This window comes from Homo sapiens, chromosome 20 (assembly GCF_000001405.40).
Source record: "Homo sapiens chromosome 20, GRCh38.p14 Primary Assembly".
NCBI lineage: Eukaryota > Metazoa > Chordata > Mammalia > Primates > Hominidae > Homo > Homo sapiens.
In genome coordinates this window covers 1,827,455-1,844,772 of record NC_000020.11, presented here as the reverse complement: position 1 = coordinate 1,844,772, position 17,318 = coordinate 1,827,455, and the positions used below count along the sequence as shown (strand labels likewise).

The 17,318-nt window shown below is 50.7% G+C and overlaps 1 long non-coding RNA gene across 1 annotated transcript, besides 1 other annotated feature; it reads right to left on the bottom strand.

Moving 5' to 3' along the window:
* Positions 1 to 8,231: 8,231 nt before the first annotated feature.
* On the bottom strand, positions 8,232 to 14,917 carry LOC105372501 (uncharacterized). The gene is made up of 4 exons (XR_001754475.2): positions 14,695 to 14,917; positions 13,482 to 13,779; positions 11,696 to 11,947; positions 8,232 to 9,913 (listed from the first exon to the last, which is right to left on the bottom strand). It is a non-coding gene; the product is annotated as an uncharacterized LOC105372501 (long non-coding RNA).
* Positions 14,589 to 15,499: an enhancer, noted in NCBI's record as "H3K4me1 hESC enhancer chr20:1809920-1810830 (GRCh37/hg19 assembly coordinates)". NCBI's record gives its function as "activates a minimal SCP1, AML or CMV promoter by ChIP-STARR-seq in primed H9 embryonic stem cells {active_cell/tissue: H9 hESC(primed)}" and the evidence as "EXISTENCE:reporter gene assay evidence [ECO:0000049][PMID:30033119]".

Genomic DNA, 17,318 nt, shown 5'->3' with positions numbered 1-17,318 from the left:
CAGTCAGACAGGCCCAAGATATTGCTCTCAGCTGCCCTACTTGTGAGGCAAGGGATTTCACCATTCCAAGCCCACCACTCTCCCCCTAGAACGTGTCCTAGCCACGGTGGCCATTGCTCCTGTACACCAGGGATGTGCCCACCTCAGGGACTTTGCACTTGCCTTTGCCTGGATAAATCCCTGGCTAAGTACGTTTTGTGTTGCTATAGCACTATACCACAGAATGGGTAATTTATAAAGAATGGAAATTTTCTTTGGCTCATGGGTTGGAGGCTGGGAAGTCCAAAATCCAGGGGGGCTGCATCTGGTAAGGGCCTTCTTGCTCCATCATCCCATGGCAGAAGGTGGAAGGACAAAGGGGTTGGGAAAGAAAGAGAGAGAAGAAGGGAGTCATACTCATCCTTTTATTAGGAATGCACTCTCTCTTTCTTTTCTTTTCTTGTCTTTTTTTTTTTTGGAGATAGAGTCTCACTCGGCCGCCCAGGCTGGAATGCAGTGGTGCAATCTCGCTCACTGCAACCTCCACTTTCCAGGTTCAAGTGATTCTTCTGCCTCAGCCTCCTGGGATTATAGGCACCTGACACCACATCCAGCTAATTTTTGTATTTTTAGTAGAGACAGAATTTTGCCATGTTTGGCCAGGCTGGTCTTAAACTCCTGACCTCAGGTGATCCGCCTGCCTCAGCTTCCCAAAGTGCTGAAATTACAGATGTGAGCCACCACGCCTGGCCTAGGAACCCACTCTGTCAGTAACCCACTCCTGTGATAACAGCGTCAATTCATTCATGAAGGCAGAGTCCTCATGACCTGATCATGTCTTTAAAGTGCCCCTCTTAACACTGTTGCATTGAGGATTATGTTTCCAACACATGAGCTTTAGGGGACACAGTAAAATCAGAGCACCCCTTCACCTCCTTTAGGTCTTAAATGTCACCTTCCCAGTGAGGGCTTTCCTGGTGTCGCTGTTAAATTGCAAACCTCCACTCACCTCCCTTGCTCTCTCTACTCTCGCCCCTTCACTCTGTACACTTCTCCATTCTGTTCCCTGCCCCAACAGACTTGTTTTAATTATTTATTTATTGTTCATCTGCCCCACTGAAGTGTAAGCTCCATGAGAGCAGGATTGCTTCTTCACTCTGGTGTCTCCCGAGCCCAGAACCATGCCTGGTGTGTAGCAGGAGCTCGGTGACTCTGGGGAATGCAGAATGCGCTTCGCTTCATAGAAGGGTAGGAGTAACAACGCCCTTGCAGGGTAGTTGGGAGGCTGGGGAGAATCACTCATAGACGCTACATGGGACATAGCATCACCTCAGAGCTCTTTTTTAAAACTCACATACCTATGATCTGCATGGTAAGAGTTGCATGCAGCAGCTGAGTGAACTCAGTGAACCCTGAAAGGGCCCCTTGACAGCCACTCCCCCATCCTCTTTGCCCACCCTCCTCCCCGGTTCACCACTGTATGTTGGTGGACATGTTTCCAGGCCTTTCCCATATATTTACATCTGCACAGATATAACATGTGTGTCATAGGTATGCATCATACATCAATAAGATCATTCTCCATTTATTTGATAACTATTCATTGAGCACCTACTATGTGCCAGGCATTGTTGTGAGGCATGAAAAAGTGAGATTCCTACCCTCCAGAGCTGACACTCTAACAGAGTAGCCAGCAGACAAAGCTAAAGTATTCTTCCAGGTAGTGATATTAATACATGTTATGAAAGACATACATTTAGGTAAAGGGATAGAGGAGGATAGGAGTGGGGTTGTGGGGGGGTGCTTTCAGTCCAGGGGGTCAAGGAAATGTCTCCTCTGAGGAGACATTTGACTTGAGCTTGGAGGATGGGGAGGAACAAGCCCTGCAGATATCCAGGACAGATTCTTGGTAGAGAGGACATTGGGTGCCAAGGCCCCAAGCATGGCATGAAATTAGTGGGTTGGAGAACGAGTGAACAAGCCAGCAGGGCTGGAGCAAAGTGAGCGAGGGGAGGGGCAGGAGATGGGTCAGGGAGGCGCAGTGCAGAACATATGGGGTGGCATGGGGAATGCAGGTTGGGGCATACAACCAGAGCCTCAGGAAGATGGAGCAGAGGAGAGGACTGAGCTAGGATTGGTTTCATTGGGGTTTTTTGGTGCAATTTTTTTTATTGTGGTAGAATATACACAGCATAAAACTGGCCATTTTAACTATTTTTAAGTGTACAGCTCAGTGGCATTAAGCACATTCATATCACTGTGCAATCGTTACCATCATCCGCATGCAGAGCTGTTTTATCTTTCAAAACCGAAACTGCACCCATTCAACACGAATTCCCCCGTCCCCCAGCCCCATTCTACTTTGCGTTGCTATGGATTTGACTACTCAAGATGAATCATATAAGTGGAATCATGCAGTATTTATCTTTTTGTGTCTGGCTTATTTCCCTTAGCATAATATCCTTGAGTTTCATCCATGCTGTACCGTGTGACAAAATTTCTTTCCTTTTTAAGGCTGAATAATATTCCATTATATGTATATACCACACTTTGCTTATCCATTTATTCATCTGCCAGTGGACACTTGGGTTGCGTCCTCCTTTCGGCTATTGTGAATGATGCTGCTATGAAGATGGGTGTGCGGATACTTATTTGAGACGCTGCTTTCAGTTCTTTTGGGTATAGAGCCAGATGTGGAATTGCTGGGTCCCATGGGAATTCTTTGACCTGGTATTTTATGTAACAGAATCCAGGGGCTACCAGGGGAGAACAGCCACCACGGAAGGGCAGAAGCTGGGAGGCCAGCCAGGCAGCAGTTGTTGCAAGGCGCCTTGTCTTACGTAACAACCCATCCTGCAGATCCCTCCAGGGTGGCACAGGGAGTTCTGCCTGTCTCTTTAATGATTCAGGGCACTTTCACTTTCATCCTTTATTTGGGTTCATCCCAGCTCTGGAAGTCAGGTGGGAAAAGGCCTATGATCCCCTTGGAGAGACAGGGACAAAGGGGCTCAGGGAGGGAGAGTGTCTCAGCCAATGTCACTGGGCTCTAGGACGTCCTCTAGGACGTCCTTCAACCCTGGGCCTGCCTTGGGACTGACTCTGGGGGTAGATGACTCCCCTGTGAGTCTCCCTTCTATTCCCTACTCCTGCCAGGCAAGGCTGGGCAGCTGGAGAGAGCTCACAGCCAGAGCCTCTCTGCCAAGACATTAATGAGCCTGAAATCCAACTCAGGGTATCCCTGGGACCTGGAGAGTGAGAAGGAGGCAGCACCCTAATTAGCCACCATTCTTCTCACCTGCAGCTTAGGTAGCCCACCCCGACAGCACTGCCTGAGGCTGGGGGTGTCTCCCAGCAGGCTTAGGAGCCCTGAAACTGGCTGCTATTGGCTGTGTGTCCTCTTTCTGTGCCTCAGGCCCAGGAATGCATCCTGAGGAGGACAGTGAGAATTCCATCAGAGCCACAGGAAGTCACACCCCACCCGGGCTGGGGTCTGACCTGGGTTCAGGCAAATCTCAGGGCCCTGCCTCTCCTGGGATCAGTTCCTCCCTTTTTAAACTTTCACTTTTTGGCTGATGAAGCTTTGTGGGATGAAAGGAGGAATGGGAGATGCTGCTTCCTTGGGTCGGGGGAGCAGGATGGAGAAGGGGCCAGGCCCTGTCTCGCTGGTTTCCCTCCCTCCTATAGGCATCCAGGTCCCAGTCTCTTCTGCCCATTCAGCCCCTTCCTCCTTCCCTTCCTTCCCTGCATGATCTGTCCCGCCCCCACCAGCTTAGTCAGCTCAGCCACAGGGACCTCCTTGCTTTCTTCAAACAAACCAGGAGTGGGCCTGCCTCCGGGCCTTTGCACTCACTGTTTCCTCTGCCTGGAACTCTCTGTCCCAGATTCTATCTCATGCCTCCTTTACATCTTCACTAAAATGTGGCCTTTTCAATGAGACTTTTCCCGACTCTCCTGTTTAAAACTACAAATTGCCCCACTCCTCCCTGGCAGATCTCCACACCCTTCCCTGCTTTGATTTTTTCCACAGCACTTGTCGTCACTTACCACTGGCATATATTATATTCAGTTACCATTCTCTTTCCTCTAGATTGCATGCCCTGTGAAGGCAGGAATTTCTCTCTTGTTGGCTTCTGCATCCCCAATGGCTGGCACAGAATAGGAGCTCAGTAAAGATGTGCTGAATGCACAATTTCAAGGACCATCCATGGCCATTGCCATCACCCTGGTCCAGCCTGCAGCCACCCTTCCCCTGGATGCTGTGACAGCCCCCAATGCTAGGCTCCCGATGTCCTGTTTTGCCCCATCCAGGCAGTTTCCTGCCAGCAGCCAAAGTGAGCTACTTAAAATGCGATTTTGACCAGATGATCCCTGATAGAAACACTTTTGTGGGTCCCATTTTATGGAGAATGAAACCCACAGTACATCACTCAGTCTTCAAGTCCCTGCCTGCTCCGGCCTCCAGTTACTCTCAAACTCATCCCCTGTCTCCTCCCTCCATTGCAGCCACACTGATCTCCTTGGGGCTTCTTGGCCACATGGAGCCCTGCTCTGACCTCAGCGCCTTTGCACCTCCTGTTCCCGCTAACTGGGACACTCTTCTCTCTACCCTTTCTGGTCAGTTCCATCACATTCCTTCTGTCTCAGGCGAATGTCACCTCCTCAGAGAAGTGTTCCCTGACTACCCTAACCGGTTCCTCCACCGAGTCACTCTTAGCTGTTGCTTTGTTCCTATATTTATTGTCTTCCGAGTCACTCTTAGCTGTTGCTTTGTTCCTGTATTTATTGTCTTCCGAGTCACTCTTAGCTGTTGCTTTGTTCCTATATTTATTGTCTTCCGAGTCACTCTTAGCTGTTGCTTTGTTCCTATATTTATTGTCTTCCGAGTCACTCTTAGCTGTTGCTTTGTTCCTATATTTATTGTCTTCCGAGTCACTCTTCGCTGTTGCTTTGTTCCTGTATTTACTATCTTCCGAGTCACTCTTAGCTGTTGCTTTGTTCCTATATTTATTGTCTTCCGAGTCACTCTTCGCTGTTGCTTTGTTCCTGTATTTACTGTCTTCCGAGTCACTCTTCGCTGTTGCTTTGTTCCTGTATTTACTGTCTTCCGAGTCACTCTTAGCTGTTGCTTTGTTCCTATATTTATTGTCTTCCGAGTCACTCTTAGCTGTTGCTTTGTTCCTGTATTTATTGTCTTCCGAAGGAGACTGTGAGCTTCCTGAGGGTAGGTCCTTGTTAGCTTCCTGTTCTCAGCTCGGAGGAGGCACATGGCACATAGTAGATGCTCAATAATATTGTCTGGCTGGATGAATGAAGGTGTCTGAGCACACGCAGCCATTTTCCTCGTTATTCCTCCCTGTCCTCACAAGCTAGGATTGTGATGCCCTTTTGAAAGATGATGCGATTGGGTCTCAGAGAGTTTGGGCAAGCTGCCTGGACCACACAGGCAGTGAGCAGTGTGTGTCTGTACGTCCTTTGTGTGTCTATGTGTATGTCTGGATGTATCTCTGGGTGTCCAAGTGTCCTCTGTGTGTGTCTTTGGATGTCTGTGTGTCTGTGAGTCTCTGGGCACCCAGGTATTCCTATGGATTTGTGTATGTCTGTGTGTTTGCAAGTACCTTTCTTTGCTATGCACATGTGGCTGCCATGTGCATATCTCTGTTTCTCTGTGTGAGTCTGTATCTGTATATCATTGTGAGTCCCTTCATGTCAGCTGTCCTAGTGTCTCTGTGTGCCCCTAAGCATGTGTGTCCACGGTCCAGCTCTGTCAGCTCTCCCAGCCCCCACTCGGTGGTCCATGTCATTCCCTGCTGCCCCAGGCTCCTCCAGGGCTCTAACAGCCTGTCATCTTCCAGCTGTGGGGTCCCTGAGTTCTTTGGGCACCTGGGGAGCTGGAGCAGAGGAGAGAGGCAGACAGTCAGGCAGGCACTGTGCATCCCTGGGGCCCACAGACCCCAACCCATGGAAACCCTCGCTAGCCCCAGGATTGGCTCCTGACTTAAAATTGCCAATCCCTGATTGAGCTGCCAGGAGCCCGCACTGGGCTGGTTCCCATGGCAACGTGGAAGCTGCCAGGCCTCCCGCTCATAAAACAGGTCATAAAGCAGGGGGATGGGAGGAGGATCAGGGGCTGCCCAGCTGAGGGGGGGCTGGCTGCCTGGGAGCTGCTGGGGCCACTTCCCTTGGAGACCTGGCCATGCACCTGTTGGCAGCCAGGCCAGGTTCTGCTCTGCCCCTCACACTGAGCAGCCTCTTTGTGAATAGGAGTCATCATGGCCTCTAGTTCTGCCTCTAGGTACGATGTTGCATGGATCCAGGAATGCTTTGGGTGAAAGGGCCCAGCAGGACTGAGGCCTGGGAGTGAGCTCTGTAACCCTCTGTCTCCCCATCAGTAAAACGGAGAGCGAAGGGAAAGCAGCATGGTGAGTGGAAAGAACCAGGCTTGAGAGTGCACTGGGTTCAAACCCAGCTCCACCTGCAAGCTGTGGGACCCTGGGCAAATGGCTTCAGTCTCTGAGCCAAACTTGTTCACCTCTCAAATGGAGACAATAATGGCGTAGAATATTTGTGAAAATTAAATCAAAGTTTATAAAAACTTCTGATGGTGCCTGGTCCAGAGACCAGCTGTGGTTGTTAGAAATAATAGCAGCTATTATAATAATAGTGATAATTGTGTGCCAAGCACTTGTCTAAACACTTTACACGCAGCAGTTTATTTTATCCTCATAGGTGATAATTATTCCCATTTCACAGATGAGGATGCTAAGGCACAAGAGGTTAAGTGACTCACTCAAATCACAGAAACCAGAGGGAGAACTCCGGTTTAGACATGGAGTTGGGGTGCTTTCAGCCACAACCCAGTACTGCCTCTCTCTTCCCTCCCTGCAGAATCAGTGAGGCTAGGGGAGGAGTCAGCATGAGCCCCAGCCAGCCTCCTCAGCTTCAGGGCCTCCCCACTGCAGCCACGAAGAGGAGAGGGCTTGGCGAGCGTGGGCTTGGTCCTCCAGAAGGACTTGGGGAGGCAAGTTGCAGGGATCACAAAACAACCTCCTTCAATACCCTTTTCCCATTGCTCAGAGGGAGAAATTGAGGCCCAGAGAGGGCTAGTGACTTGCACAAAGTCATATAGCGAGATAGTAGCTGCAAGGATTCAAACCCAAGTCCCTTTCTTTGGAGCCAGTTATACTCCCAATAAGCCCTATGGCTGCCCAAGTACCCCAGGCCACTGGCAAAATTGAGAAGAAAGCAAAGCAATAGGGGCAGCAGTAATTCCTGTGTGTTGTGGATTTAGCAGGTATTGGGTATCACGCTGCAACCCTTCACGTGCACCTTGTTTAGTCCTCGCTGCAGTCCTATAAGGTTAAGGCACATGATACACATTATCAGCATCATCCCCATTTTAGAGATGAGAAAATTGAGGATCAGAGAGGTTATGTGATTTCCTTCAGGTCAATTCAAGAGACTTGAACCCAGACCTGCTGATCCCAGAGCGGCATACAAGGACCCAGCCCTCAATCCTGGGGTCTTTCTGTGGTGTAACTCTTGGGGCGTGCCCATGGGGGCTGCCTCGTGCTGACCACAGCAAGGCCCAAGGAATGAGCATTTCTCCGTCCATCCATCTGTCTACCTACCTATCCGTCTGTTCACTCAATAAATATTTACCCAGGGCTTTCTCCATGCCAGGCAATATTCAGGCATTGGGAGGCATACAGCAGTGAACAAAGCAGGCAGTGCCTGGCTTCGTGGCCCTCATACCCTCGTGGGGAGAGGCAGACTATAAACAGAGAAACAACAAAGATGTGTGTCAGGTGGTGGTGAGGGCTATGGAGAAAAACAAAGCCAGAGGAGGGGGCAGCGCAGGATGGCGGGGTCGGAGAAGGCTTCTCTGAGGAGGTGACATTTGAGCGGTGATCTGAAGGAGGTGAGGGCTTGGGCCGTGTGGGGATCACTAGAGAGGGGTTTCTGGCAGAGGAAATAGCGGGAGCAAAGGCCCTGAGGCGGGAGCGTGCCTGGCATGTTGGAGGAACAGAGAACAGGTCAGTGCAGCTGGAGACGGCAAGCAAGCGGCAGGGCGTTGGGGAGGTGGAGAGGTCAGTGGGAATCAGACCAAGGGCGGCCCTGTCAGGTTTTCTTCTGAGTGAGATGGAAGCCATTGGAGGTTCTGAGCAGAAGCGTGGAATCATCTGATTGAGTTTTTAAGAGCATCTTCTGGCTGCTGGAGTGAGGATGTACTACAGGGCTCAAAGGAAGAGGGAGCGGGGGTTAGAAAGGCAAGGTAGTATGTGGGTGTCAGATGGCAGAGGCTAGGGCCACGCAGAGTGAAGGAGGTGGAGAGGGAGGCCAAGATCTGAATATATTCTAAAGGCTAAGCCACAGGATTAGGGTCTGAGAACCCTCTAGGATGGCTCCAGGTTTTTGGCTTAAACCAGAATGAAACTGTCATTTATGCAGGTGGGGAGGACTGCTGGAAAAGCAGTGCGGGCCCGGGCTTTGCACATCTCAGTTCGTTTGTGCCTTATATTCCTCAAGCATCAGAATCACCGGAGACACTTGTTGAAGTCCAGATTTCTGGGATCCTCCACCAGAGCTTCCCATTCAATAGAGCTGGGTGGGGCTTGAGAATGTGGATTTCTAATCAGTTTCCAGGTGATGGCGATGCTGCCAGTCACAGGACCTCACCTTGAGACCCACAGATTGTTGCAGCTGGGGAAGTGGAGGCTCACAGCTGGAAGGCGACTGGTAATAAAGTCATAAATTGAGCCAAAGCCTCTTCAGTCCTTGGCCAGCTTCTGGACCCTGATGGAGAGAGAAGGGAGCCCTCAGACATTTGTCCCCAGAGAATGAGAAGTGGGTGTGGCTGGAGCTCCTAGGGACCCTCTGGTTTCTGCTTCTGTTTCCATGGAGGCCATAAAAAAGGGTAGTGGCCGAGCGTGCATGTGACATGCATTCTCTCCAGCTTCTCCACCCCCGGGTGTAATCCTGTCTGGCTTCCCTGAGCCCTGTGCACAGGAGGGATTCTGGAGAAGCTTGCTGCAAGACCCAGCGGTGTCCTCATTCCTTTGTTTTACAACCGTTTGCCGTGTTCGCATGCCGCAGTTGTCAGGAGTGCTATCCACCATCTGGGTCCATTTCTGGGTCTCCTCATGTGGGGTGCGTGGAGAGGCTGTACTTTCCAGCCTTCTTGAAGTTAGGCACGTCCTTGGCACTTGATTTCTGCCAAGATCTGTGAGCAGAAGTGAGGTGTGTCTCTTTCTGATGGGAGCCTCAAGAGCTGGTGAGCAATTTTTTGTCTGCATCCCCTGCCAGGGAGACTGGCGGGTTCTTCAAGGGAGGGCTCGCCAGCCTGGGCCCCTGACTGTGGACGTTATGGAGGAGAAGCCTTGCCAACTGGAGATGGACAGGGAACCGGAGTAAGAAGCAAACCTGTGTTTTTTTAAGCCAAGGGTTGGCAAATTTTCTTGGCCAGAGAATGAATATTTTAGGCTTGTCACAGCTACTCAACTCTGCTGTTGGAGCAAGAAAGCAGGCACAGACAGTACGTAAATGGGTGGTTGTGGCTGTGTCTCGATGAAACTTTGTTTACAAGATGAGTGACCAGCTTGCAGGCTATAGTTTGCCAACCTGTTTGAAGTCTTGAGAATTGGGAGTTGTTTGTTCCTGCAGCATGAACTAGCCGTAGTGACAACTGTACCTTCCATAGTGACCTTGCTGGCATAGACAACAGAACCTACTATGCCTCTGCAAGCACAAGGCAGTAGATAAGGAAAGTGTACTTGACTTTGGCTGGAGATCTTGTGGTTCTCCTCTCAGATCCTCTTCCCATCCTTCTCCTTGCTCTCTGTCCTGAGTGGTTGGCCTGCAGGGATTATGTCAATCAAGGGAACCCTTGTTGTCTGGCTTTCCATTGGGTCTGGCCCATTGGGAGCACTGGTGGGATCTGGGAAGAGAGAGGATAGTGAGGCTGGTGTATTTATTCCCCAGTTCTCTGCCTTCAAGATCCCCTCAAGCTGCCTGTGTCCTTCAACTGAAGGCCACATCTCCTATTGGGGGCTCTCTCTTATCTCCTGGTGACAGCCAACTTCTCCCTTCTCCCTCCTCTCACCCTTTGAGCCCATAATAGTTCGACTTGCACCAGCTCTGAGGTACTACCTTATCCTTTGTGGTTTGCTATACTCTTTTCTCATCCCTCCTAAGTGATCCCTTTATTAAAATCAAATCAAATGACCTACCTGGAGGGTGCCATCTGCTCCTGCTGAGACCCTGACTGCTGCTGCTTTGAGGCACACATGTCTGGGCTTGAATTCTGATTGAGTCACTGCCTTAGTTAAATCATGTCACCTCTGAGACCCCTGGGTTTTCTCTTCTGCAGACTGAAGCAAAACTAACCTCTAGGAAAGGAGGAGGGGTTTCCTAAACTATGGTATCTGTACAATGTCAGGAGGCATCTCAATTAGTGTTAGGAAAGAAGGAAGGAATCCTCATGACAGCTTGGAGAGGGTGGGGCCTGAGTGCCACTTGCCACTTGGGAAATGAGGCTAAGGCTGCGTGGGATGGAGTGTTCCGGGGCTCTGAATGGGCCTGAACCCTGGACAGACATCAGTGCATACACCTCTGGTTCAGTCCCTTCTGGGGATATTGCTGGAAAAGGGTCCCTCAGGACAGAAAACGAGGCATCAGCTAGGCCCAGGTTCAAATGTGGGCTTTGCACTCCTTGCTGTGTGACCTTGGGCAAGTGACACTGCCTCTCTGTGCTTCATCTAAAAATAGATAACACAAATACCTACCACAAATGAGAAACAGAACATAAGGCAGGCATCCTGACTCTCTTTTTGACTGCTGTATGCATGGTATCTAAAGCAGTACCTGGTGTATAATAGGTGCTTACTGCTTGTTACATGAATGAATGAGTGAACAAATGCATTTGTGTAGAGCACTTAGCACAGTGCTCACCTGCCTGAATTCAGCTTCTGATGCTACCAGTTTCCAGCTCTGTGGCCTTGGGTGCCTCATTTAAATTTCTTTATGTGGAAGATGGGATTCAAAAATACCTACTTTGTGGGATTGCTAAGGACTACATGAATCTTCACATGTGCCAGGCAGAACCAGCACTCACTCATGTTAACCATCATTGGTCACACTTTTGCTGGGGGTCAGGCTTTTTAAGCTGTTTAAGCTCTTTTGACCATGCATACAGCAGTCAAAAAGAGATTCCGGATGCCTGCCTTATGTTCTAATCCTCACTCGAGGTAAGTATTTTTATCCCTATTTTTAGATGAAGCACAGAGAGGCGGTGTCACTTGCCCAAGGTCACACAGCAAGCAGTGCAAAGCCCACATTTGAACCTGGGTGCCTGACCAGTTGGCTTACTGGAATTACCCCTGGGCTGGGGACAGAAACCTGGGCAACTTGCCACATGATATTGGATGACTGTTGCCCTCCAAGAGCCTCAGTGTTCCTATCTGTGAAGTGGGAGGTGGTGGCTGAAGTGGGAGCCTTCTGAGTCCCCTTGTAGCTTGCACCTGCACATGGGTCACTTTCGGACCAGGCTGTTGCAGGGGATGCCCTATGCACAGCCCCAGAGATGGGACATCTGGATGTGAATGGACTCAGGGCAAGTTCAGGGTCAGAGCCCTCCTCACATGCCTGGGCCAGTGGCAAGCATGTGCCAACACTACTACTACACTACATCACAAACACTACTACTAATGGTATTGCTGACCTTATTATCATCATCATCATGAGGTGGGAGCTGGGAGGAAGCCCTCGTTGGGGTAGGGGTCCCAGCTTCTGGGCCCTCCGCCCTGTTCCCGATTCCTCTATCCTTGGCCAGTGGTGCAGCGGGGAGGTGGCAGCCCATTGGTGCTCAAAGCTGGAAGAGACGTTCTTCACAAGTGCCATCGAGCCTTCTTTTTTTAACCGCCACGAGCTGACTAATGCCTGAGAGTGTCAGTCCCTCCAGCTCCGGGTGGCCCTGCAGGGGTGTGAAGTGCCGAGAGGAGAGGAAGCTGCTGCCTTCCAGAGCTGCCGGGCTGCCTGGGGCACTGTAGGCCCTCAGAGCCTGAGCCCAACATCTCCGAGCCCCTGTCCCTCTGTCAGGGCTCCTGTACGCTCTCCAAGCTCTCATGCCCCTCTCAGACCTCAGCCTCCTTTCTGAGTCTCCCCATCCTTTTCGGATCTCCCTGTCTGCCCTCCGAGCCCCAGCTCCCTCTCCGGAGATCAGTCTCTTTTTTGCCCTCCTCCCGCTTTCCTGTAGTAGTCCCTTGACAGATGCTGGCAGGGTTGCCCGCAGGGGGCCCAGCCCTGGCCTGGGTGCTGGGAATCCTGGCTGGAGCCTCAGTTCAGCCAGTGGCTCTTAGGGGACTTTGTGCAGCTCCTGTTCCCATTTGGGTCTCGCTTTCCCTATCTGTGTAATGAGAGGGTTGGACTGGATGGGTGAGAAGTCCCCTTCCCACACTGAGCCGAGAAGATTCCATAGAAACCCAAAAACCTTCCAGTAGGGGGTTAGGGGTCCAGCGCCCCAGCACGGTTCCTTGCATGGTGCTGGAGCCCCTTTCCCCTTTCCTCAGGGGAAAGTTCATTGCCTCTGAACAGCACAGGCTCTTGGCAGCTATCTCCTGAGTAGATTTTTGGATGTGCCTTTCCAACTCCTCCCTTCCTGACGTCAGCAGTGCCTGGTCCAAGTGGGCCCCCAGTGGTCTTGATTCCATCCTATTTTCCACCTTGCACAATCTAAAACTTGACCAAGGTGTGCACCTCTTGATGCTGGCCAAGTACTCTCCCCATAGATGCCCTGGCTGGTTAATGTATCACACTGAGGGCACGGAATGCTGCATGAACTCATTTTGATGGGCTGTGCAGAGTTTCGGAACCCTCTGGCTCCAGGGCCAAGTCTGGTTACTGCGGCAGCCATGAACGTGCACTGCTCAGGTCTCCTACCGTGGGGAGCATGATTGACTGACGGCCCCAGCTGCTGTCCCTTGGGATGTGCTGCCATATCTGTGCTGAACCCACATTTCCTGTGGGCTGCTGTCAGCCAACCACCGAGCATGGCAGGAATACTAAAGGCAGGCCCACTCTGGAGAGATGAAGAACCCTTCCAGTAAGTGACTTTGGCTCAAGGACTCTCCATTGGCATGGCTTAACCTTTTTTGAATTGTACTGCAGTTCAAGACTCTTCCTACGCAATCTGCCTTCCTTCTCCCTGTCCTTCCCCAGGTGCCAGACCTGCCTTCTCCTGCTCCCTCTCTCAATAAATCTCTTGTATGTTGAACTCAATCTTGACGTCTGCTTTTCAGTGGGCCATCCTAACACAGTTATTACCTACTAGGCTACTGAAGTTATGCTATACACAGGAACTGATAACAGCAACAACTAGGATTTAATGAGCACATATTGTGGGCCAGGCCATATCTCATCAACTGTTTACTTCAGCCTCATGAGGGAGGAACTCTAACTATCCCATTTTATAATGAGGAAACTGAAGCTCAGAGAAGGAAGGAACTTACTCGAAGCAGAATTTAAAAATGACTGTAGAGTTTCCAAATTTTTTGTTGATATCTCTCTCACCCTCTATGTAATACAAGCCGGTGAGTGTAGATATGAAGTCGCTTTTTGCTAATCGTCGTGTCTCCCTCCTCAGAGACTCACGTAGTCTCTGGCATGTAGAAGGCTCTTGATAAATATTTGCTGCAATTGCCAATGAATAAATGAGCAGTAAAAGAGCTGTGCACAATGGCCAAGTGGCTTAGCCACATTGCAAAAAGGTTGCAAAAAGAAGAAGCTTTTCTTTGAAAGTCCTCGGCCCTGGTAAAACATGAGGGTGTGAGTTTCTATATTTATTAAAACATATTTAGCTTTTCTTCCTTTCTCTTTCACACCCGTCTGCTTCATACTGGGGAGGCAGAGCAGAACAATGGAAAGAACTAGTCAAACATAGTAGGATTCTCCTGGCTTGGCCACCTACAATGTTCTGTGCCTCAGTTTCCCCATCAATAAGATAGGAGTATTACTGTCTACTTCATCAAGTGCCTGGCAGAGAGAAGATGGAGTGGGCACACAGCAGGTCCTGTGCTCCTGCCAGTGTCTCCTGGTAGCCCACAGAGGTTGGGCACAGCCCCATGCCAAGCTTGGGCCAACTGGGAAGGTATGGTGGCTGCGGTGGCTGCAGTGGCTGTCACATCAGTCCCCAGAGGGGCTCAGGAAGCCCAGTGCTGGCAGCCTGCTCCCTTCCCCCAGCTGCATAGAGGCATCCTGCCAACCTTTCCCAGCCTGCGGGTGAGTCTCAGGCCCCTGGCTGTCCCAGTTTCTGCTGATAGCAGAGGACCACGCGTGAGTCAATGCATCACCCGCAGGTTTCTGCAGCTGCCCTTGGATGAGCCAGGCCTGACTGGATTAGTAACTGGATCACAGCCTCCGCCCCTGCAAGCGTCAGAGGCTCAGGAATGCTGCAGGAGACCTTGGCGTCAGCTGTCCCAGGCTCCTTGTGCCTTGCATTACAGATGGGGAAACTGAGGCCCAGAGAGGGGAAGGGATCTGCCCAGGGTCACACTGAAACTCAGTGGCATTACAGGAACTCGAGCCTAAATTTTATCCCTCAGGGGCTCATTCATTCATTCATTCATTCATTCTGGATCCTAGCTCTAAAAAACAGATCTCAACTCTGCCCACTCTCCCCTGCTCCACTGTCACGCCTGTAGCCTAGCTGCTGACAGCTCTCACCTGGATGGCTGCAGTAGCCTCCTCCATCCATTTTCCACACAGCAGCCGGGGGGGGCCTTTTAAATAAAAAAAATTAGATTGTGTTACCTTCTTGCACACTCCTATAGTTTCCCATCTTATTCAGGATAAAAACCTGAGGATGTGACCAGGAACCACCAGGCCTTATGGGTCCAGCCCCTGCCACTCTGAACCCTTCCTCTTGCTGTCGCCCCTCCATGCACTTGGTGGGAAGCCAATGCCGTTGGCCTCAGTGTATCTGGAAGGCTCCACCCTGGCCCAGCCCTGGAGCCCTCGTATGTACAGTTCCCTCTGCCTAGAACACTTGTCCCCAGCATCCCCACGGCTGGTCCCTTCCACCCCTCATGTCTCAGCATGATCCCCTCCTCAGGGAGCCCGGCCAACCCAGTCCTTCCACCGCATCCCAGCTGCTCTGCCTCGCCACCCTGCCCCATCCTTTCACAGCACGTACCCCTGCCAGAATGATCGTTAGTCATGCACTTAATTGTTTATCACCAGGAAGAGTGGACACTTCCTGAAGACAGGGGTCTGAGATTCCGTTATGGCCTCGGTGCCTAAAAGAGTCCCTGGCATAGAGTATGTACTCAATAAATATTCCTCTCTCTCTCTCTTTTAACAGCATAGTGTGGGGATCATAATATTTTCTCTTTTTTGTTTATTATTATATTACAAATATATAACTGTATACTTTTTTATTTTATTTTATTTTAGACAAGGTCTTGCATTGTCAGCCAGCCTGGAGTGCAGTGGCGCAATCATAGCTCACTGCAGCCTCGAACTCCTGGGCTCAAAGGATCCTTATGCTTCAGCCTCCTAAGTAGCTGGGACAACAGGTGCAGCCCACTGCCCCTGGCTTTTTAAAAATTATTATTTTTTTTTTGTTGGGACAGGGTCTCACAATGTTGCTCAGGCTGGTCTTGAACTCCTGGGCTCAAGTGATCCTCTTGCCTTGGCCTCCCAAAGTGCTGAGATTACAGGCACGAGCCACTGTGCCTGGCCATAAATATTTCTTGAATGGAGTAAAGGAGAAAGAAGGAAGAAAGAAAGGAAAGAAAGGAGAAAGGGAGGGAGGAAGAGAGGGAGGAAGGGGGGAAAGAGGGAGGAAAGAGAGATGGGGGAAGAGGGAGAGGGGAAGGAAGGAGGGAGGGAAGGAAGGAAGGGAGGAAGGAAAGGAAGGGAAGGAAGGGAAGGAAGAAGGGAAGGAAGAAAGGAAGGAAGAAGACTAAGCAATGGTGTTGCTGGTTGTGGAGGGAGAAGGCCTGATATTGAGGAAAAATTACCAAAGAAAAGTCTGCTTTTGTTTCCTCCCTCACGTAATCTCACTTCCTCTGTGAGTAGTCCCTCCTCATTCTCCCAGCTTCCCTCTGGGCTCCTGGTGCCTGCTGCCCCGCCTCACCTGCTGCTTGTTCTCTTCTGACTCACCTCTCTTCTCAGGAAAACTAATTCTCACTCACTTGTGACAATAGGGCATTCCCATTCAAAGGGAGTTTTTATTTTTAGCTGTCTTCAAAGGGTAAAGCCAAAGAAATGAATACCTAATGGTGGAATCTCTGCTACTAGTGAGGTTGGACGACTGTCCTAATCCCCTGAAATTACATTATGTGGCTATCCCTCTGTCCCAGGTAAGGGCTGGGTGCCCACCCCCAAGTCAGGCCAGGATACATGGCCTTCTGGACTGTGCCTGTCTCTGTCACCTCTCTCCCCTCCCTCATTCACCACTTTCCCAAGATAAATCAACCAGGTCAGTCAACACGTTTTGGTGAAAAAGAAACAAGTTAGTCTTTTGACTCGACAAAGTGGGCCTTTCTCGTGGCAGAGGGGCTGGGGCAGTCGGGAGCATGTGGAATCAGCACTGCTGGGCCAAGACAAGGCCCCTTTTGTGTTCAGGGACAAAGATAGAGTGTCCCGGCAAGATGGGGCCAGGGCCTTTCCAACGCCAGCTCCGGCAGCCTGGATTGGCTGGCAGGCAGACAAGTCTACCCTGTGACTGGGCGGCCCAGGCTCCCAGCCACCGGCCGCCCCACCCCTCCCTTTGGCAAACAACTGGGTGGGGGTGAAATAAATTGTGAAACCAGACTGTCTGCCCTGTCCTGGCCACCAGTGCTCTCGGGGCTGGGGATCCTCAAACCTAACAGACCTGGTACTTGGGGGCTGAAAGTCCTTAAATCTACGATTTCCGTGGCCTTTGGAGATGAAAAAACTTGGCTTTGGTTCCAGGTTGGGTGACCTTGGGCAAGTCACCCCACTTCTCTGAGCCTCTGTTTCCCAGTCTGCAAAACAGTACAATAATAGTTCACCTCCAGCCGTGGTACAGGTTCAATGACATGGCATCTCTAAGGAACAAGGCACATGCCTGGCACAGAGAGGGCACACAACTGTCAAGTTCACAGCTCTTTACAGTTTACCACTTCATAGCTACTATCTCATTAGGTGCTCAGAACACTACCCCTACCCGTGGAGGCAGGAATAATCACCCCCATAGAATGAAGAAGAAACTGAGGCTTGAAGAAAATTTAGAGAATCTGAATTTCTGGGGATGTGGGCATTCTGGAAGGGCACCTGGTAAGGTTATGTGTGGCCCAGGCTGATAGATCCTGAGGAAGGCG